General features: G+C 44.5%; 2 protein-coding genes across 12 annotated transcripts in view; one reads left to right on the top strand and one right to left on the bottom strand.

Annotated features, from left to right (window-relative positions):
• GATB (glutamyl-tRNA amidotransferase subunit B) overlaps positions 1-1,079 on the top strand; it is a 90,504-nt gene extending 89,425 nt beyond the window's left edge. For both annotated transcript variants that reach the window (NM_001363341.2, NM_004564.3), the window contains one exon: positions 281-1,079. In NM_001363341.2, the coding sequence (NP_001350270.1) occupies positions 281-409 (129 nt within the window). In that variant the 3' untranslated portion in view covers positions 410-1,079. The remainder of the gene's footprint in view (positions 1-280) is intronic.
• Positions 1,080-22,934, bottom strand: part of FHIP1A (FHF complex subunit HOOK interacting protein 1A) — a 261,328-nt gene continuing 239,473 nt past the window's right edge. For all 10 annotated transcript variants that reach the window (XM_024454201.2, XM_047416127.1, XM_011532221.3 and 7 more), the window contains 4 exons: positions 20,991-22,124; positions 15,173-15,351; positions 14,685-14,823; positions 1,080-9,082 (listed from right to left, as the gene is read on the bottom strand). In XM_024454201.2, coding sequence (XP_024309969.1) covers positions 8,829-9,082; positions 14,685-14,823; positions 15,173-15,351; positions 20,991-22,124 — 1,706 coding nt within the window. In that variant the 3' untranslated portion in view covers positions 1,080-8,828. The remainder of the gene's footprint in view (positions 9,083-14,684; positions 14,824-15,172; positions 15,352-20,990; positions 22,125-22,934) is intronic.

The raw sequence follows: 22,934 nt of genomic DNA, 5'->3' as shown, positions 1-22,934 counted from the left end.
GGGAGGGCCCTGGCTCCCACGTGCCAGCTTCTCTGGCTTTCGGCAATCACTTCTTGCTCATTTTAATCAGAAAGCAGAGTAGCAAAAATCTCCTTTGACAGGAGCCTAGAAACCTACTCAGAAGTGAGGCCCCTCCCCTTTTTCTGTTCTACATTTTATGTCTAATACTAGTGGAAATAAGCGGAATTTAATTTTCAGTAAACTTAAGCCTTAGTTTGGGATTTGGGGGCATGAATCCCTTCATTTTCTCCTCTTAAGTAAGTAATTTCTGTCCTTCTAGGTAATGGATGTGAAGAACAGAAACCCCAGAGCTATAAATAAACTGATTGGGTTGGTCCGGAAAGCGACTCAAAGCCGAGCAGATCCAGTCATGATAAAGGAGATCCTGGAGAAGAAGCTGTCATTGTGAGATGTTTGGGATCCCCTTGCCCAAGGGACAACAACAAACAGTGCAGCCTGACTGGGAACAGGATCCTGTGAAAGCTGATGCCCATGTGCCCTGAGAGCTGCCTCTCAATCCCTGTCCCAAGCCACAGCTATGGCATTAATGTCACCAGTGTTCTCACCCTCTAGGCCCTGTGCCTGGAGGTGCCTCCACAGCCGACCAGCAGCCACCCCGCCTGCTTCATCCACATCAGGAGGGTCCGGTGAGGCTGCAGCAGTGGTTAAGGAGTAACACCTTCTTGTATTAAGGAATTTTAAACTAAATAAAATGTATGTTGGAGATACTGTTACCCATTCTAAGAAAACTTTTCATTCTGCAGTTCCTTCAACAAATATTTTTGAGCAACTCCTAAGGGCCAGCCATTGTAGGTGATGGGCATTAGCAGTGGTCAAGAGAGACTGTAATTTGGATGTATTGTTTTCAGACCTAAACACAGGTTAACAAAGATGAAAATACAACCAAATAAACTGGCACAGTATAAACACATTTGTTTGTTTAAGGAGGTCTCAAGAGGGTGGGGAAGGAGGATATTATTAGAATTAATCAACCTATCGACTGAGTAGAAGTGATATTGCCTGTTAAACTCCCTCCCCATCCCAGAAGGCACAGTCTGAGAATAAATGAATTAAAAAAATAAGTTTTCCAATAAATTTAATCAATAAAATATATACTGAAATATCACATAAAAATTAACTTACACTTCAAAGATTGTGCAGCTGACAACTCCCCCAAATCCCCCAACCCTCAGGCCAAACAAGATAAAAAGAAACAAGAAAAAAGTTGTAACATGAAATTGACTTGTTTTGCTTGGAAATAAGATTATAAATTAGTAAATCAAAATCTTGACCTCTCATGATAATCGTGGTGTGCTGCAGGCATCACGATGAAGGCGGGGCTGTCTGCACTCCTGTGCTTGCGACACTAATACTGTTCTCTCCACTGCACCGGAGCACCTTTGTTCGGTATATATATGCCTTTGTTACCTCTGACTCACGTCGCTTAAAGACCAGTTTTGCAAATGTTGTTTTTTAAAAGCATACTTGTCAAAACTGTGATGTAAGAGAATAAAATCCTTGGAGGCCTTGATTTGAAGCTGTGAACCTGTAGCCTACCAAGGACAGTAAAAACATTCCCGTTGTGAACACTGCTCCAGAAGCAGCTGAGGAACTAGAAAAAAGTGGACACCCCTCCATCACCAATTCAGCGACTCATGCTTCCTGGCTTGCACAGTTCCTCAGGACTTCCCTGAGAGTGATGAGAAAGGTGCCCCTCTTCCCCAGCCCAAAAGGTAGGCAGAGAAAGGTAACCAGTTGCGTGGTTCATTTTGGACAGGCATGAGGAGGTGGCTTTTTAAAAAAAGTCGTTTAAAAAAATTAGTGACAGAATTTTAAGAGACTATGTGACCTTACCCGGGAAGCCAGGTGCCCCGCATCCTGTTGCGGTCCTGAAAACTACTGGGTCTAAAGTAACATGATTTTCACCAAATCTCTCTACAAGACAGTAAGGCTGAAGCAGTTCTCTCCTCACTCTGCAAGTCTGAATTACAAATGGGCAAAGGTGGTCTGAGACTGGAGTCTGACAGGATCTTTATTTTGTAAGAAAGGAGAAGGTTCAGTTTCATTTTATAAATTCTGTTTTCACCAAAAGTTCTGGCTTCTTGGTGACTAAACCTTACAGAAAGCATCGAAGATCTTTCCAGACCATTTAAAATTAAAGGCTTACTTAAAAGGGGGTGCAGCCAGAAAAAGACATTTACCAAAACTATTATGTCAAGTGCAAACTGTATTAAGGACTGATTATTCCCAGAGGAAGATGCCCTTGTTAAAGCACTTGATTTGTCCAGGCTGATTCTCATTCAGCTCTGACAAACTGCCTGTTGTCTTGAATGCCAGCTTCTGAAATCCTGAAAGCCAAACCTTGTAAGTTGATATCATCACTGCTGCTAGGAAAAACCCAAAGCATGGCTCTGACTGAAACCCGATGAGATATTCTAAAGATATGTTTACATTAACACCCCAAGAAATTCGCAAAGATGGCTCTGCTTATAAAGGGGCCTCAGTGAAATACAATTTTACATTCTTGCATGAGTGTGCGTTTAGTCTGGTCTACTGGTTCACCCTTCAGGGAGAAATCTCATTAAAATGTATGAGTTGGCACCACAGGTGATGCCATTGCCATCTGTCTCAGGAATCCACACACCTGTAGGCTGGGTGTATAATGCTGAGGCTCTGACTAGAAGTTAGAAGTGTGCTGGAAAACTGGCTCTGCCCCAGGCTGGCTTGAACCAGCTCTGCCTGGTCAGGCCCAAACCCTGTGTTCTGTTGCCTGGGGAGGAGGTTGGAGGGTTCTGGTGGGAAGGCAGGAATGTGCCAGCCCTAGCACTCTGCATGCTACCTAACAGAGGGAGTATTCAGTAAAAGCTCGCTTACTGTATGAAACAAATTAATGGACAGCCTTTTGTGGGGCCCTTTTGAAGAGACACTGGTGATACCAACTACTAGGCTTCTGCGTTCTGGGTCATCTGGGTCTAGAAAGGAGCTGTTTGATCTCTGTCCAGGGTCACACATCACAGTGAACTTCTGTTCCTGTCTTTCAAGGTGGAGGCCTAGGCCTAGGAAAAAGAACCTAGATCATTATTGCACCAAAGTAAGGATATTTTAGCTGAGCTCCCCCACCCCATGTACATTTTAGTAATTATTGCTAAAATAATTACTAAGATGGCCTCGAAGTTTCGGAAAGTACACACCCTCCTTCAGCTTGGAGTTGGTTAGTTCAGGACACAGCTTATGGCCATGACCCGCTATTTTATATTGTATCTTTCATTTCCATTGAATTTAGTTGCATAGTTTCCACATGGTGACTATTGGGGAAAAGCCACCAGATCTATCTGAAAGGCCATATTCTTTACCCATTACCAAAAGCAGCATGGAAGTGGCTGCCATGCCTCTTCAGCAGGTTTTAGACAAACATATTCATGGATTATTTGCAAATAGAGCTGACCCTTGCTTGTGAGGTGGGAAGCATCTGATTGAAACCCTTAGTCAAATAGCTTAGCAAGAGTCGTGTAAGTAAGATTGTCAACACCAAATTCCCTCTTTTAAAATATCCACAGGGCAAAAAGGGGCCTTGTTACAGGTGGGCCTTTCATAGACTTGTCCCAGTAAAAAGTCAGCTGACACACTAAGCAGCACAGACTTCTGCAGCCTCCGTTCCATGAAATTTAATCTGGCCTAAGAGCTTCCATCACCTTTGTTGGGTTCTGAAATGACACAGTAAATCTAAACTCCCCGAAAGATGCCTGGAATGCATGTCGAAGTCATGCTGACAGGTCCTATTGGCCGTCTTGTTACTTGTGTAGGTAACAGTGAACTAGGTTAACTTAAACCTTTTAAGACATGAACAAAATTCACAGTGACCCTACAAGCTAGGAAAGGTCAGTCCTAGCTAAAATCATGATCAGTTTTAGGATTCTACGTGCAAGAGGTCAAAGAACTGAAGGCTTCCACCCACCTTCTCCTGGTCATTCTTTTCCCTAAAGAACCTCTGAAAATCTTTCACTAAAGTCCTGTTTATCCAGTTATTGAGCTGCCAGGATAATCTGTAGTCCCAAAACAAGTAATGGCCTAATAAATGCCTGAATGTAGAGAGGATTTACTGAGGCAAAATTATCCTAAAAACCATTCTCAGTCTTCTGAGAGCTCTTTCTAAAGCATTAGGTTTACGAGGTTCATTCAAAAAGAAGGGGGGGAAAGAGTCAACTGCATTCTCTTACAGTGTTTCCTCAGTGATGTGATTTAAGGGTGGAACATAAAGTGGTTTGACAGTGTTCTGTTTTAAGCTGTTACTTGATGGAAAATTAGTGTTGTGTTATTTATAGACTGATGGCTGAAGCAACAAGGGGCCTAGAATATCTTCCTAATGACTTAAAGCTGATGTGGCATCAGCTACAAGAGACTGCTGTTTCCAGGAAGAGCTCACACTGCAAAGCAGGCTGCCGTTTGCAGCAAACCACACATGACACCAGCCTGAGCCAGTGACTTGAAGTAGCACGTGCAATAATAGCTGACCTGCAATAAAGTGTTTCATAAAAATGGCAAGCATGACAGACAGCCATTTCAGTAAATACAGGGCTGGTAATTAGCAATTACATTGAACTGCCCTTAAATGAGAACTGGGGCATATGCAGATACTGAACACCACGCCGGGACCATTTAAAATTAAGGGCTTACTTAAAAGGGGGTGCAGCCAGATAAAGACAGTTTACCAAAACTATTATGTCAAGTGAAAACTGTATTAAGGACTGATTATTCCCAGAGGACGATGCCATCGTTAAAGCACTTGATTTGTCCAGACTGCTGCGGCTGTGCTTCCCTCCTGAACACAACCTAGACACACTGATCCAGATTCAGAAGAGCAGCCCATCCACAACCCTAAACCTCAAACAGACCTGGGAATCAGTCCACATGACGGCCACAGCCAAGCTGATTTGGAGACACTGGAAACAACTTTCGACCCTGAGTACCCACTGGCTGCCCAAATTAAACAGGCAACCCCAATATTCATGTAGCCTGTTTCTAGATTCTGTTCATAAGAGGATGCTTTCCTGACAAGACCCTGGCTCCATGATGTCTTATCCTGGACAGAAACTAACTATATCTGACCTAAATAAAATCCACCTGCTAAGGAAAGGGTACTCCTGATGACCTATAAAAATACCGAATGCGTCCTACCTAACACCTGACAGACATCCACTCCAACCCGAGCACATCAAAGCATTTTCCAAAATGATACTCCACAAAATGGGGACCACTTCACAATTCCTCTAAATACCAGGGAAAGGAGGTATCTAATGGTAAAGAAAAATCACATCTCTAACTGGCTATTCCAGCACTCCCATTTCATGGTTGGGAAATTGTATTTTACCACCCATGAAATTATGTTTTAGGCTGAACCTAAGTTGGAATTTCTTTGTGTAAAATTTTAAAAAACATTTACTTGGCCATTTCCAAAAAATCAATTTTAAATATCCCAGTGCTCTCATATATTTTGAACCACAGAAGTCACTCAGTCTGGAACTTTAAGTCGGGCCCTGAATTATGAATTGAGGTTAATGTTGTGATACTCCAGGAACCCTTGGCTCCCTCACCTTTCCTGCCCAGGCCAGACGCAGTGACGCCAGCTCAGGGGCTGCGCCAGCGGGCGGTACCCACGGTTTCTCTTCCCCTACATTCTTCCAGCAAGGAGCACAGCGACTGGTGTAGGAGCCTGTCACATAGAGAAGTGTCCACACTCTCGGACCATATCTTTAAGCATGCCAAACATATTTAAGATTTTCCCCCCAACTCATTATAAAAAAAGATATTTCTAAGGGCTTGCCGATTTACTTTAGGACCAGAATATTCTACTTCATTGCCAATGATTTTTTTCCTGACAAGGAGTTCCCATTCTCACCCACCCACTCCCTGGTTTCTTCATATCCGCCTAGATCAATGTTCACTCCCCCGAATCGTGCAGGATTTGCTCTTCTCCCGTGGATAGACTCAGTTCTCTGCTGTTTTTCTTTGGCATGTCCACGTCACTCCCTAAATAACCCACTCTCAGTTATTTCACCCAGCCACATGGGTTTTCCTGTTCTCTCTACATCCAGCTCCATTTTCTGACTTCATTTTGCAAAACCATGGACAAAAACCTCTGAGGACTGTAATGGATTCAGAAACAGGAACCAGTTTCCAAATCCAAATAGGAAGTTAGTGTTATCGTGTGAGTTTGCTGCCAGCACCCCAGCATGGGAAGTTACATTCTCCTGCCTGTCACTGCACACACCAGTCATCTCTGTCCTCATTTAAAGTAAGTCTACTTCAGGCTGGACCCAGTGGCTCACACCTGTAATCCCAGCACTTCGGGAGGCCAAGGCGGGACGATCACTTGAGCCCAGGACTTTAAGACCAGCCTGGGCAACAAGGTGAAACCCCATCTCTACAAACTATACCAAAAAGTTAGCTGGGTGTGGTGGCACGTTCCTATATTCCCAGCTACTCGGAAGGCTGAGGTGGGAGGATCACTTGAGCCCAGGAGGTTGAGGCTACAATGAGCTGTGATCACACCACTCCACTCTAGCCCAGGCAGCGCAAGATCCTGTCTCAAAAAAATAAAATAATAAAGTAAGTTTATTTCAGTACCTATTGAAAAAAACAGTAAGAGGCACAAAATCAATCTTTTCCCAAAGGAAACTTTCCACAAAGGGGACCATGGTATTCTACAATGCAGAAATATGGATTCAAGAAGAATCAACACCACCACCAGATAATGGAGAAAGGTGTAAATCAAACTACAAAGCTAAAGAATTCCATTTACAGATGTGGCGTTGGCATTTTATGACTTTGTAAGTCCAAACAAGAAGATAAATACTTGTGCAAAAACAAACAGAGTATAATAAATTACAGCCGAACTTCCATCTTCAACTGTTCCTCTTTCTCTATCTTAAGCTACCTTCTTTTCTAATGGAGAGTTGTGGGCTGTGCAAATACAACCAGACATCAGGAAGCCAGAAGCAGACCAGTCTGCTGTGCTTCATCCCTTCTGGCTGCTGCACCACAGCTGAGCAAACCATTTGTCAAGACAAACAGAAATGTACAGTGAGTAGGAATCTTTGGTGTCTTGCTTGGACTATGAAACACGAAAGCAAGGCTGGCTCCTAACAGCTCACCCTGCCCAGGCCAGGTCTCCTGTTGTCATTTCACAGGCCAGCTCTCAATTTCTCATTCACTCAATACAAAGCTGCTTCAAGATTCCTGAAGCACAAAAGGGCCTCCACTGCTCCACAGCATTGCAGGTGTGGTTCTTCCGCCACTGCCCTGCCTGTGCATGAAAGGCCTGATTAAGACCAAACCAGTGCTCCTGAGGCACAACCACCAGACCTGTGGCTGCCCTCAGGGCTCCACAGAGATGCCCACAAAGAACAGAGAGAGACAAACCTTCCAATTTCCTTCCAAACAGGCAGGCTCAAGCTCGTTACTTGCTTCGCACCTGCAGAACTGGGCCCAAAATAGAGGGGAGTGGAATTTAATATCCATAAAAATCAGTTGTTTATGGTCTCATTTTCAGCTCACAATTATTCTGTTTTCCCCTCTTGGTGGTGGTTTAACATGGCTGTGGCTCTAAGTATAATCCTGCCTCTTGGAGCAGGCTGCAAAGCAGCAGAGGGACGCTCATACAGCACGTTGGGGCCTTCTAATGAACCCCATTACTCGGAAGGCAGCATTTCCATGCAGAGTGAGTCGCCAGCAGGCACTTGGCTTTGCAGGGCTCCAGGTGACCTGTTTGCATTTACATCCAAGGTCCCAAAGTGGGCTGTACAGTTCCTGTTTCTCTACAAAGTGCAGCTTACTAGCAAAAGGGAATAGAATTTTAAATAATGATCAGTGTTTTTACAGGCTGCATTTAGTTTATCTCCCCATCCCACCCAGCATACCCTCCCTGAAAAAACCCACTATGAAATGGCTTCACAAGTTAATCAGTTTGTTTTTATAAAACACTTACAAAAATAATGATGGTTGTCTTCTTACATATATATGTGATACCATTACTTCTTCATCTGATCAAACTCCTAAAAACCAAAGTAATAGTTTGCATAGGTATACTTAATTTTGTGCAAATCTTACTAATATAAGGCCATCTTCAGTGTTTAGGTAGTGTCATGCTGATTAAAGTAAGCTCTCAAGAAATAAGAAAAATTATCTGCATTCCAAATTCTCTCCAAGGACATCCGACTTCCCAGGCAGATAGCTGAGGCTCTGCCGGCACCATAAGGCAACACACGCTGGGGACGACACACGTCCTGGAAGTAAAATCCAAAGGGACAGATGATATGTGCTTTCGTGATGGAGGCAGGAGGAGCTCCATCTTTACTCTTCCTTTATAGAACAGAGGCCAAAATGCAGGAGGCAACAGGACCATTCGCACAGTTGCAGGTGTACAATCTTCCTGTGCTGCTGAACAGCTGGAATTCTGACATGGGGCACTTCCAGACATCACCAGACATCACTGAACCCCAATATCTGCTTGACGTGATCTGAGCTGCAAGAAGAGTAACTCAAAGGGATAGGAGAATGACAACCAAAAAAATATAAGGAGGAAAAACAGAGCAAAGAAAACTGCCAAGGGAGCAACCAGCTTATGAGACTTACATTCTATATATAACATAAGGTGGAAAGGCCCGGCTAGAGAGAGAGAGGAAAGATACAGAAAATTCCCCTCCCCACAAATCAAGTATTGTCAGGAAACATTAAAGTAGAAATCTTTGTAAGCAGCTTTGCATTTAACATTCAGTCAAGACACTAAAACCTTACAAAACAAGAACCTCTATTAAAAAAAAAAAAAAAAGCTAACAGCAGGAGTCCTCAAAGTCACCCAAGATCTTGTAGCACAGAATGGAGTGTTCCTGGGCCAAGGCCGCCAGCTCCTTCAGGAACTCTGGGAAGAGGGCAGCAGCCAGCATGGGGTTCCTCACCGGCAGGGGCAGGTTGGGGGGTGCCTCAGCCACCTTGGTTCTGTGGGTCAGGAAGGGCTGAAGCACTCTTGGAGGTCCATCCAAAAGGTTCTTGCCACTTCCTGTCCTGGAAGCCTCCTGAATGGGATCTGAAAGCAGAAAGAAAACCATCATGGTGTCCCTCCATAGCCTTCTAATCCACCCTCTTCAGTGAAGCATGTGTTTGGGGGCAGAGTTGCTGGAGAGTATCTAGTTATGAGTGCAGTTCCTATAACGGACTAAATCCTGAAGATGCAGCCCTTGTGCACTCCATGACACACATATTTGCCCAACAGATATCCTCCACCATATAGCATCTGATATGAGACTTTCACCCAAAATTCCTTCTAAGGAACTTCATGCAGAAATCATGGCAAGAATATAGGTTTGTCAAGAATCCTCCATGCCAGAATGTGGAAATGGGAGAAACTGACAAAGGCATCTCCTGTCATTGGCTTATTAAGGGGCGATGAGTAGTCCCGCCTGCTCTGCCAGCCTCTCATGCTGGGATGACTGTTCTCCCTTTGCCAGTTAAGCCCTGACAGCACAGCATAGCTCCAGCAGGGAGGCTGGGTGAAATGGGTCACTCCAAGCTCTCTGCAGCGGGTGCTCCAGCCTCTCGGGCTCCCCGGTGACCTCCAGTCTTCTGGCCAGGACCTCCAACGTTTTACATAAAAGGAGAGCGGAAGATTCCTTGAGATCAGCAGAAATAATGGAAGGGAAGGAAGTTGGGTGCTGGAAAGACCAGATTAAGAACTTCCTGCAACCATGGGGAATTAGTAGCAGCAAATGGCTTAGAAGCCTATATTGAAGGAGGGTTCCCATCTCAATTTCAATAACATAGGCTTAAGATGAGTTCAAATTTTAACATATCCAAGTGATTTGCATTTTCCTATCAAATCAGTTTTTACTAATTAAAATGGTTCAACATCCCTATTTGATTCCTGAACATCATCAGCCCTCATATATTTGTAGGAATTATTTATGTCTTCCTCTGCCCCCTACCCAAACAATCTCATTACTCCTTATAAATCATTATATTCAAGTTCTTCATTATTTTGGCTGCTTCTTAGAATTCAGTACCATTTTTCAACACTCTTCTCAGAGTGTTGCTTAACTACAGTACTAAAAATTCTTGACATTTATAGTACTTTCCACATCTCACTACTATAGTCTTTAGTGTTAAAAAAAAAAAAAAAAAACAACTTCCACTTGACTGCTTTAAATATCCTTTTAGATTAAGGCTTATCACAGCTTTAATGCCATAAAGAACTGGAAAAGTTGCTGAGAATCTGTCTTCTGCTACCTTTCAGCAGAAATTCATGTCCCGGCAACAGAGTGAGCACAAAAGTGTTGATGTCACTGAGGTACATGTCAACCTTGGAGAGCACCCCTTCTCATCCCCAACCCTAGCTCAGGCCCTGTCACTCTCCAAAGCGCCCAGCAAAGCTCACAAAGGAAGCTGGCCTGCGTTCCAATGGGGACTGGGACACCATGGACCTACTCCCAGACCGAGACCTGCACTGTTCATGCTTGTTCCTCCACCTGGAATTCCCTGCCCCATTCTCTGCTCACCTAAATCTTACTAGCCTTAGAGGCATTATTTGTACAGTGGTTAAGACCACAGAGTCTGCCACTTGCTGGCTGACCTCAGGCAAATTGCTTTACCTCTCTGTACTTCTATTTCCTCACCTGCCAAAAGCTATTCATAGAGTTGTTATAAGGATTAAATGAGTCAATAGGTATAAAGTACACAGGGACCTCTGAATGGGTGTCAGCTACCACATCATCCTCATCAGTACAGTTGCCACCAACTTCACAATGAATTTCCAGTTTCCTGCCCCCAGAAGTCATTCCTATAGTCTTTATGCCTTCCTCTGCCCTCTACCCAAACAGTCTCATTCTAGCCTCCTCTCCATGTTATTGACCAACTAAGGCCTGCATTGCCCTTCAGCCTCACATTGTTTATGTTTTATCACCTCTGCTAGACTCCAACCTTTCTCAGGGCTGAGCCCTATCTGATAACATGTCTTTAGCAACCCCTAACACACTTCTGTATTCACAGAAGCTAATAAACATTTGCTGAATAAATGAGTGAAGGAACTGATCTCATCAGTCTTCCCTACTCCTGATTCTCCCTGCAGCTGCTCGTATTCCTCTCCCCATTCTCCTTCAAATTCATTCATTCTCTTCCAAATTCATTCATTCTCTTCCCCCCTAAAAAGGGGTTTTGTGACTCATTTGTCTAGCTTGATCTGTGAATAAAAAGTGTCATTGCTAAGGCTCATTTACCCAGTATGAATCCAAGAATCAGAACTGTCTTCACTAATGAAGGCAGAACACCCAGTGAGGGAGACCAGGGGCTGGCTGGGAGATCCATAGCATGATTCCATCAGTGGTGGCAGCACATTGACCCGGGCTCCCCTCCGGGGTCTTGGCCTTTCAGTGTGTCACCAAGCACCATCAAATTCTCCATTCAAAAGCAAGCAGACCCGAGTTATGGTCCCTACCTGGCCACCAGCTCATCATAAAATGTCTGTTTCCATCTCTGTAAACTGGGGCCATTACCTACCTGATCTCCCTTCTAGAATCAGTGCCCAGTAAAAGGGCTCTGAATATAAGTAAATACAGTGAACTGTTACTCTGTGGTTTGGAAAGTATTTGAGTAGAAAGAGAAAGGCATGGCAAGTGGCTGAATCTCAGAGACCAACAGCCTCAAGAATAATAATGTGGAACTGGGAACAGGACGTCCGCTCTCTCTGGAGCAGCGGCCACACAGACTTTTACTGCTGTTGGAAGCATTAGTGAGGAGGCTCGTTTTTCATCGGGGCTGCCAGGAGGTGAAGGGAATGCAGGGCCTGCATAATGGAGCAGCTCTGGCTACAGACGCCTGAGTTACGCCCCTCATAAAAGGGTCCAACAAGCATGCACGAGCACCTGAAGAAAAAGGCAGGACGGAGGGAAGTATAAATAAATGTCAGAATTAGGAATGGCTTCTGAAATGTTGCCCTGGGTCTGAAAAGCTGCAACACAAGGTTTTCAAGACTAATACTGGGAAGATTTCAGAAGTGAGGAGAGAGATACATTATGTGTTCATCTCCCTGGCAGCAGCATTAGGCAAAGGGCAGAGCACACAGACACTTGGAAACCCAAATATTTGGCCCATTACCATAATTCTTCATTGTAAATTGCTCTGTATCCCAGTGAGAACAGGCCTCCCAGATTTGACTCATTTACAGGAAATCATGTCACAGTAAATGCTTCAGAAGTCAGCTTTGTACAAGGGGACAGGAAACTCTCATTCTGTCAGTTAAAGATGCTTTAAGTGGGGGAAGAGTATGACTTGGCTAACCTGGAAAAGTTAGAAAGTTAATCTAAAAAAACTCAAGTAAAAGAAAAATGTTATATCCAGAGAGAAGATTCTTACAGGTCAGAGCCCTGGAGTGTCACAGACCTTACTTAAGGAGCATGGAACCCAGCTAACTAATTTGACAACCTTAGGCAGTGAGAACAAGTTCCCTGGGCACATATTTTGCAATCATGGCCTCCAGACATTCTGAAACCAGGACAAGCCTAAGGTGTGAGTGACCCCCACCCCTTCCCTGAATGTAGGGGTTAAGGCTCAGTGTACCCTGAGTATCTAGTGCACCTCAGTATATCTAGGTTGGTCAGTGTGTACACTCATCTCCTTGAATTAGCTAAGACGGGCTCAGGCACTTGAGTTTCATGATCCTGGTTGAATACCCTGGACCTCTAATTTTGGCTTCCTTAATGAAAATTAAGCTAATGGTGCCTTTTTTGCCCTTTTCAGAGCACTGTTTGATAATGAAAATTGACCGCTTGAGAAAGCCCCTTATAAACTGTAAAATACAATGAAGACCAGGCCTTGTCTAGGAGACTGCAGAATGCCCACAACTTGTTGCAGCTCTTCCCACTCTTCCCATCAAGAGGTGGGGTTTTTGCTCCATTCTTCAATCTGCGCTGGCCCTCTGTCTTGCTTTGGCCAACAGAATGCTGCAGAATGGACCTTACGTGAGCTCCGAGTCTGAGCTTCAAAAGATTTTCTATGCTTCTGCTCTCACTCTTGGAACCCCATTAACTGTGACATGGACCAGCCTGGGCTAATCTGCTGGATGGTGAGAAACACCCCCATCACCTCCATCACTCCAGCCAACAGCCACAGATGTGAGTAAGGCCATCCTAGACATCCAGCCACCCACTGATGGCAGACACACAAGCGAGTCCAGGTAAAATCAGCCTGGCCCAGATCAGCAAAACACCCAGATGACCACACAGATTCATAAGCAATCATAAATGGCCTTGTGTTAAGCCAATGAGTTTTTGCAGTGGTTTATTATACTGGTAATTGGTGTACCTTCTCTCACAGGGTGGGTGGCAGCAGCATGCGCCCTGTTCAGGAGGAACACAGGTCACACACTTACCACCCATGTGTCTAAGGAGGCCACATGGCACCCGAAGTCTACCTTCTCACAGAGATGCCAGGCTTCTTTCCCTCCATGAATGCCTTTGCCTGCTCTTCTCAAAGCCCGACTCCTCGCTTTACCAGTGGCACATGGCCTACCTTTCTTTCAAATCCTAACTTGCAGTACCCTAAGAGCTCATCACAACCCAAGTTCTGGCTTCAGCCGGAAAGCACCTAAGAGATGGAGAACAAATCCTTCATTTAAAAGTCAAGGGACATTGGGCCTGTGAGGTAAAGCAACCAAGATCAAATAGCTGCACAGGGGCAGCATCAGGACTTCAGAGTTCTGGGTTCTTTTCAGCTTCTTTGAAAGGTGGAACAATTGCCCTGAGTTTCATTTCTGCCGCTCACTGCCAGTCTTGTTTCTGATCACTTGCCTTTGGCCCAGGACTGAGAGCCTTACTCTCCCCACTGTTCATCTGCCACAAAGAAGCCTGACTGGTCTGTGTGTGGAAAAGTAAAAGCCAGTGCAATATGGGGCATTCCTGCTTTGCTCCTACCAAGGCCTAAGTCACAGCTCAGGGGACAATGGTCAGCAAATCGGTCCAACCAGAGCTTAAATAAGGTAAAGCAGCAGTGGTGCTCCCAGGCCTGGCCAGCCATCCTCAGCGCTCCTACTAGCACCGACCCATGCCCCCACCCCCACTCCTCACTCTGCCAGGGCCCTGGCCTAACATCTCCTCTAGAGCCCATAAAAAGGCACTCTCAGAGATTTTAGGCTGAGCATAAACTTTACTTCTCCCAGTCCAAACCGTTTTTTTGTTTTGTGTTTTGTTTTACCTCCTAGGGCCCTAAAGCACACTTATTTTTGGCCCAAGAGCCTCTGAAAACATAATAAAGAGAACACATGCCCTCCTCAGAACAGGCTGCCCAAAAAAATGGCTCGGAGAGTGCATATAATGCCTCTTTCTGGCCCATGTGTGCCGTGTGATTTATTCTAGCCTGACAATACCCTACACATCAGCTCCTTGCAGGCACCACTCTCAGTTAAAAAAACAAAATCCCCTCTAGACCCTCCACAGAGGAAACAGGCCAGGTGTGAGCAAGGCAGACCTTTCTTTAGGTTTAAGAATGCTAAGAGGTGGTTCCTCCCTGTTGCATAAAAATGAAAATATCTCTGAATGCTTCTAGGATCCAGAAGCCAGTGCAGCATCTGTGAACTGAGGCCAGTAGGCCAGGGACGTGGAGGAGGAATTTAAGGAGGGGCGCTGTGGAGAAACCTGGCTTACCTTTGGTTAGTGCTGCAGGGGTCATATCAGACATGTCCACACGGAAGAGCAGGTACTGCTGAGCTTGAATGAGGAGCCCTGGGAAGTCTCTCTCCACAGAAGCAAACTGTTCAATCTTGTTTTTCACAGATGCAAGGACCTGTCAAAAACAGCATTACTGATGTTAATGCCTCACCATGAAATTCCACTCCCAGTTATCAATATATCTTGCAGGTAGCACCCTCATTATGGGAACTATTATGATGTTAGACATTTGTTCATTTTTAACTGCCTGGGTGTTCTGCGTAGGGCACCGTCAAAACATCAAACTAAATGAAGCTCTACAGTTTGTCTAGAATAAACTACACAGTGAGCTTAATAGGACAGGGAAGGAAAGCAAATGAATTAGAGCAAAGGAATTTTTGAAAAACAAAATAAAGAGAAATAGATGCCCTGCAAATTAGCACCCACAAAATCAACAGGTGTGGATGTGGGTTCAGCTAACATACCTGATAGAGAGAGCGGACGCTTGGCTGGAAGACCATGTTGGTGTTGAGCAGAAAGGAGCGCAGGAGTGGCTGGGGGTAGCTGGCTAGCTGAGTAATGATCCCGATAAGCAGCAAATTAACATGTAAAGAGTTCTCCAGCATGTTCTCCAGCTTTGACAGGACTACGCTGATGAATGGGCCTGCAGGAAGAACACAAGGCTTCAGGGCTGGCTGGGCTCACAGGGATGCCTTTCCCTGACAATTGCAGAACCATCGGTGCCACATCTCCCAAACCACCATGGGCCCACAGGTGCAAGCCAGACACAGCAAATATGGCCACGTTTTCTCCTGCCTCAAAACCAAAACGGAAAACAAACCACCATGGCAAAAAGAAAACAGAAAAATAGGCATGGCTACTGACATTTTCACTCCATGAGCAGTTTTGATACTTATTAAAATTATCACAGATCTCGGGAAAAAAAAACAAATAATTTAACTTTTTAAAATTAAAATATGCTTTTCTACATCATTCCTGTATTTCTTGGGGCTGCCAATGCTTAAAACATGACAGCCATCATCTCATGATGCACAGACTGTATGGACGGTAGGGTTTCATGTAAGCACCAAAGGCCATTAAAAGTCTTAGTAATGAAAAATTCTCTGTAAAGAACACCAAAAACGCACAAACTATGTTTATCAAATAGCAACACTGTCAACAGGGGTTGCCTATCCTGAACAAGCACACTGAGAAAAATTTGGTTTTGTCAAGTGTCGTAATGTGGAACAATAAAAAAAAATAGGTGAGAGGTGGAGGAGCCCCTGCTTATAATCTTAGTAGCCTTAGCAACTCGGTAACCACACGTGAATTTTCAGAGGAGAGAGAAAAGGGTGTCAGTTTTGGGAGATACAGTTCGGCATGTCACAGATTTCTTAAAAAATAAAATCCGTATGACTACAAAAGCAGTCATTTTAAAAAAGCAGTTAAAAAATTAGTCATACAAAAGCGGTCCATTAAGAAAAATAGGCAAAAAGAAGTTTCTGCTACTTTGGGTCACTAGAAAATTAATATGCTTTGAGTTCATTGAGGGCAGGGGAAAACCAAAAATAAATCTGGCATTAATAAACTTACTTGAAGATACTTTAAATTTTTACCATAAAAGTGTTCTGTTAAACACAATCAATGAGAATTTTGCATTTCCCTTGGTGGAGCTATTGATGATGCTACTAAACCATGGCATGTTTACAACGAAAGCACACATCCCTTGATATATAAGCCATGCCTTATGAAGATGTCACCAACATTAATACGAGTTTAACAAAAACATACTTCATCACAAGATGCTTCCTTCATTCAGAAGCCCTGGTAGCATAAGAGAGTAAAACCCTTTGCAAGGAACAGAAGCTCTGTGTGTGGAATGGGAACACCAAACCGAAACCTTTACCACACAGGGGAGGAACAGGGTAACTGCAATATCCCTGTCTCCAGGAACACTAAGGATGTCTCTAAGGGATCTCAACATGAGGCACCATCCCCTCATGTGTGGCATTTAGCCTCAACTTCCCCATCCTTGGGACGGGAGGCAGAGGTCTTTAGTCACTTTCCATGACATAAGAGGTCAATGAACTCTTCAGATAGAGACTCTTTGAAGATGCTTAACAAACAACTGGGAGACTTGCCAAACACATTTGGAAACTCTGGATAGGGACCCCAGTTTGAAAGCAACTAATGGTTTTCCCATAAAGAACCCCAGAAATGTCAATGGCAACTCTTAAGGCATCGCAACACAATTCGGCCTTCAAGGTAGATCTAGAGGGGGAAGGCTGCTGTCCTCAGCTTCCTCTCACCTGCTCCCCCGCAGTCCCTGGCTTAGCATCTATTTCCTTCCAGATGGAGCAAAAGCAGGTGAATTAAGACATACTTAGGTGGGCAGAGTCTTCTGTAAAACATATGACCATAAAATGATCCTTCAACTTCTCTTCCCCAGTCCCAGACTGTGCCTTCCCCAGTCCCAGACTGTGCTTGGCCTACAAACTCTAAACTGCTGACCATGCAGTGACCAGGGGGGACCATCCACAGGACATCACTACTATAAGGGGTGAGGTGGGGGGGCACATGAGCTTGAATCCCATGCCCTGTGGAGAGGAAGATCATGTCATCACTGACCTAGGTGAATGACGGAATATCATTAGGTCAAGGCCAGTAGACTGTAATGATACAAATGGAGTCCACTTTGACATTATAATTAGCATCTGCTAATGAAATGACTCATCACTCCTTGGGCATGTGTAATTAAAAATGTATTAAAACTTTCAAATTCCTACTTTATTCTTAGTTTCTAGCACTAAAAAAAAAAAAAAACCCTGCTTAACAAAAAATGTGAGGGGGATCTGGTAAGCAGCTGAAAATCAAAAGGCTCAGCACAATTCAGGAAGCCGCAGGTGTTTCTGGAGGACAGCAGTTTTATTTTCTTCCCACATCTCCTAAGAGGACAGATAGACTCCCCACCTCACAAAGTATTACATTCTTCAAAATCACTGAGACTCTCTCCACTGCCCCTCCTGTCATCCACTCACCGCTCTCCCGTTCCCCTGCCTCCATCGAGCCTGCACCCTCTTCCTGCACTTCCCCTGTCCAAGAATGGAGCGGCCATTGATTCCGTGCCTCCCTCGGCAAATTCTACCCTGGACATATCTCTGATGTGGACCTGAAGCTCCACCTCCCCTGCTCCACTGCCTAAGGTCAGTCTCATTTCCGGTCTGGACTCCAGCAACAGCATTTCTATGTTAATAGAGATTTAATTATTACTGAAAACATTTATTAATAACATCCTACCTGCCAGGCAATGTGCTAAGTACTTTTCATGTATCAACTCACTCAAGATTCAAAACAACCCTAGGAAGTATATTTATTATTTATCCCCATTTAAAGAGGAGGCAGAATGCTAAGTGAACCCAGCTTGTGAATAATAGAATTTTAATTCATACCACCTGTTCCAGTGCTCTTACCCAATGCATTATCTTGCCTGCCAAGGAGAGAGAGGGAGAGGGAGGGGGAGAGAGAGAGAGAGAGAGAGACACACACACAGAGAGACCTAGTATTTTTAACAATACACCCTAGAGACCACACCTCGTGTCAACACATACAGAGCTGTCTCATCTCAGGACCACAAAATATTAGATTGCTAGGGTGTTGCACAAGCAAGTCAGTCTCCTACTGGTGGGCATTTAGGTTGTTTCCAGTCTTTTCCTATTCTAAACAATGCTGCAATGAACATCCCTGTATGTACACCTTAGCACACAGTGTGAATACAGCTCTGAGGACATTCCTAGAAACAGAATTACTAGATAAAAGCACTGGCGCATTCTGAATTCTGACACGGCAATAAGGGTGTCTCACTTGTTTTTCCTGGCACCAACCTCTCCCCACTCCAGTGCTCTCCCCACACTCCTACCAAAGCTGGCCTTTTCAGATCCAGTCACATCATTCCTCAACTTTAAACTCCAGGGCCTTCTTCAGTGCCAGGGCACAAGGTTTCCATTCCTTGGCTTGGCCCAAAGGCTCTCCATAAGCTGGCACCAACCAAGCTTTCTGCCCTTCTCTCCCACCTCCCCACCCAATGCGGTCATACCCCACAGGCTGGCAGGCTCTTCAGTCTCCTCCTGGTGTCTCCTCTGCCTGGACTATCATTCTCACCTGCTTTCACCTGGGGACTCCCCTGCACTGTCCATGCCCCTCCTCTGTGAGGCCATTCCCACTCCCCTCACTGGGTTCCCACTGGTCTTGGCATATGACAACTAATCATGCATTTCCCACTAAGAGTACACTTCTTTGTTGGGGTCTCCTCTAAAAGTCTGTGAATTCCTTTAATGTTGTGTCCTTATTTCCTAGCATAGAACCTGCCAAACTTCAGGGGATCAATAAAAGATTGCTGAACACATGAATAAATAAAATTAGACAAATGGAATGCTTTGATTTTGCTGGGAAGTGAACTCATTTCAGTAGAAATCAGATGCCCTGGAGAGAAGAAGTTAAGCCTAATGCTACAGAACACACTCAGAAGTTTGGAAACTATAAAGCACACATACATGGAAAGAGAGATGTTTCCTAAAGCTGTGTATAAGGTTCAAAAGAGGAAAAAGGAAGGTTTTAGTGACAATTACCTGTATGTATCAAAGAGCTTGTAGTATGTTTTGTCAGTTCTCAGGTGTATTATATGTAAAATATTGATGTTATTTAATAAGGTGTTGGATTAGCTTTTTTTTTCCTTGCCCTGAGCTATACTTTCTTTCCTCTATTTACACATTTCCCAGGAATGAAGCTCCTCTGTAAGAAAGCTGCCATTCTAAAGAATAATCTTCATGGCTATGGATAGCCCAGATGTCCTATGAGAAGGCAAGCTGTGACATGCTAAGTTACTGCTGCCCTTTTCCCTTCAAGCGAACTCTTCCAACTCCCCCTTCCCTGTCCCCCTTATCAACTGGGAAAAGTGGGATTATCTAATCCATTTTACTTATGATTGACTGACTGATTGAATTTTAATTAAAACTCATTCAGACTGAAATGTTATCTCAACTAGAACTGCAAGCCTTTAATTGTGGAATTAAAAGCTTTCTTCCTGTATATACAAATCTTCAGGCATCAGTAAATAGATGAATAAATACTGGAGGAGGAGGCTGGAAGAGCTCCTTGAAATCACATAAACCTACTTGGCTGGCTGGACCAGAAGGCAATCTGTTTTCATCTATTTTGGGTTACTCCAAGAGGTAGGAGCACAGTCCCTCCTCACCAGGCTTCTCCTGGGTGCTACGTGTCATAAAATGAATAATGACCTCCCAGTATCTCATTCAGTCCTCACAGGAGCAAATGGAGGGCCTGGGATGCTAAAGCCACATGCTGCTAAATGCTAGAACCAGGACTCAATCCCTGGCCTGGTCCAAGGCCACTGTCACCCTCCATTGCTACTATCTTCCAGCCCCTCTCCTTGCTACCTGAACACCATCCAGTGGTCCCACCCTGGCCTTCCCTGAGCTTAGTGAGCCCTCTCATCTATGGCGATTCCCTCTGCACCATGATTTGTAAATGCAGATTTTGTTGGCTAATATTTAATGATGTTTTCTATCATAATTCCTCATCCTAATCTGCCTATCTTTAAGTCCTATCCTATCCCTTTACCTCTTGCAAGATTTCTACCTGTGGCTGGTAGTGTATCATTGAATATACCCACTCTTTCAAAGAGCTATTAGTTGACGTGGGTCCACTCCACTTATTTTTGGATAAAGATTTTGTGATTCTCTGAAATGAGCTCCCAGGCAAAGGCACAGCTAACCCCAATGCCTCTGATGTGTGCACAGCTACTGTCACCCAACACGGACTCTGAGCACCTATTCTGTGCTCTGTTCACTCTTCCAGTGCTAGGGAAAGAGCTCCACCCTCACAGAGCATACATTCTACTGGGGGAGACAGTCATTTGTTAAAAATAAATGTAAATAAGTGCTAAGGAGAAAAATAAGTTAGTTACGCTAGAATAAATGAAGTCATTAAATAAGACGTCTGGATTCTTGTGTGGTTTAATCAGCCCTACTGTTTTAACACTGACATATCAAAAGAAGTTACTAAGTAATAAAATCTAACCTCTAGCTTGAGAAATAAATAAGATAATCATTACAAGAATGGAAAAATAAAAATAAAGCCACCCCTCTTTGATCTTTACAAAAATATTTGCAGCCCTCTGTTAGACAAACCGATAATATCCCTTACCTTTTCCTACCTTCCTTTCCTGTTCCAATATATACAAGTACTTTCGAAAGCAGAAACCACAAAGCAATTTAAGATGGTCACCTGTGAATGGGGTGCTTTGAGTCCTCACGGGATGGCGACTGGCAAAGGCAGCCTCATCTCTCCCCACAAATGGGGAAGGCACAGTCTCTACAGCAGGCATCTCCGCTATAAAAGAGTCAAAGTCATCCTCCTCATCTTCTAGCTCCTTCTTCCCCTCCTTCTCCTTTTCTCCTTTACTCTCTTCCTTCCCTTCTTCCTCCTTAGTGAGAAGCAAGGGATCAGGTGTGGGGTAATTCTGTTCCATCAAGCCCTCGGCGCCGGAATCCAGCTCTTTAATGATTTGGTCATACTGGGCAATGAGCTCCTCGCTCTCCGGGTGGGCGGCTGTCAGGTTAGAGCTGTGCTCTGCCTCAGGGGCAGGGGATGCTAACTCTGAGTTGGATTCTGGGGCTGCTTCAGGTTCCCTCTCTTGCTTTGGCTCCTTGGGCTCACTGTGAAACGGGTCTGAATTGTCCCTATTCCACTCCTCCTCTGAATCTGTCTCTGGCTGGGTGCTGAGGAGGGGGCCGTTGTTGATGGGGACACTCTGAACTTCAGCCTGGGCTTCAGCTGGTGGCCTAGCAGCTTCCTCCTGAGAATCCTTCATGTCCTCGGAGTCCTTCTCAGCACACAGCCTGTACACCATCACATCATCCTGAAAGTCCGACTCTTCTATGTAGGACCCTTTGAAGAGCAGGAGGGCATTCTTCTTCATCTCCTGGATGTGTTTGGGGGGATCAATGGGTGCTGGGGGGCCTGAAACCTCCAGATCATCATAAGGCCCTGGGGAGCCCACGTCAGCCCCTGAGGAGATTCCAGTGTCATAGCTGTCATCCCATTCCAGCTCTGTCTGGCTCTTGTCCTTTCTGGGAGCCAGCTGAGGTCCTGTCTTCCTGGGGAGTTGTTGCGGGAGCCCGAACACAGGGCAGGCCGAGCTCACACTGCCCTCCTCCGTCAGACTCTGGAGAAACATCTCAGGGTCGGGGGAGTCGCCATCATACAGGGCGGACCAGACACGGCAGTCCCTCATGCAGCGGAGGATGTTGGTGTGGGCCTCCCACAGGTACTGCAGGTAGCTGATGTCCAGGGCTTTCCCATACTCCACAATGCAGGCTGACTCGGAGAACGCTTCGGGGAATGGCCGCTCCACAGGCCCTGCACAGGAGGCAGAGGCTGGTTAGAACAAGGGAGGTGTGGGGACAAAGGTAGTGGATGGGGTTGTGACCCATTCGGGCTAAGACTGTGTCTTGCCAGCTACTTTGGGTCTAATTATATCTGATTAAAATGACCTCTGAATAATATGGTTAGATTGTAAGAAGGAAAGATTAATAATAGAAACTCTACCCTCACGGAAGATAGAAAACCAATATAGCCAGTCAGATAGTGGCTATAGCCGATGGAAATCTATTATCTGGTACGAGTCATTAGAGAAAGAAGAGCTGATGATCGCAATCTCTCAGGTTGTTGAGAGGATTAAATTAGGTAATACACCTGATATAGTACCTGCCACAGAGTAATAACCTTAAAGTTTTTTACTTTGAATCTAAAGCGGAAGGCTGGTAATCCATGAATCTGAGAACCAGACGTTTTGTAGAAAAATCCTGGGTTTTTAGAAAAGCCTATTAACTCATTCTGTCTTCCTGGGGACTATCAGGGATGTTGATATTATCAAATGGTCTCTTAGAGTAAAATCATATTCACTACAAAAGTCATTTTAACCCAAGAATGCTGCTTATGTTACCATGACTGCCTCTGATGTTAAAAGTTCCAACTTCACTACTGAAATAGCTGCGAAAATATCTTCCTATGAGTTTACATTTTCCCTCAAGAGAAAAAGACTGAGGGAAAAATATATAGTCTATCATTTCTTAAACATCTAGTAGGCTGCAGGTGCTTTATCAATGCTATCTGAGTTAATTCTCCCAATGATCCTATATGGTAGATATTATTTTCTCCATTTTCAGA

The sequence above is a fragment of the Homo sapiens genome, chromosome 4, assembly GCF_000001405.40.
Source record: "Homo sapiens chromosome 4, GRCh38.p14 Primary Assembly".
NCBI classification, from domain to species: Eukaryota; Metazoa; Chordata; class Mammalia; order Primates; family Hominidae; genus Homo; species Homo sapiens.
This window is presented reverse-complemented; position numbering and strand designations above follow the sequence as displayed.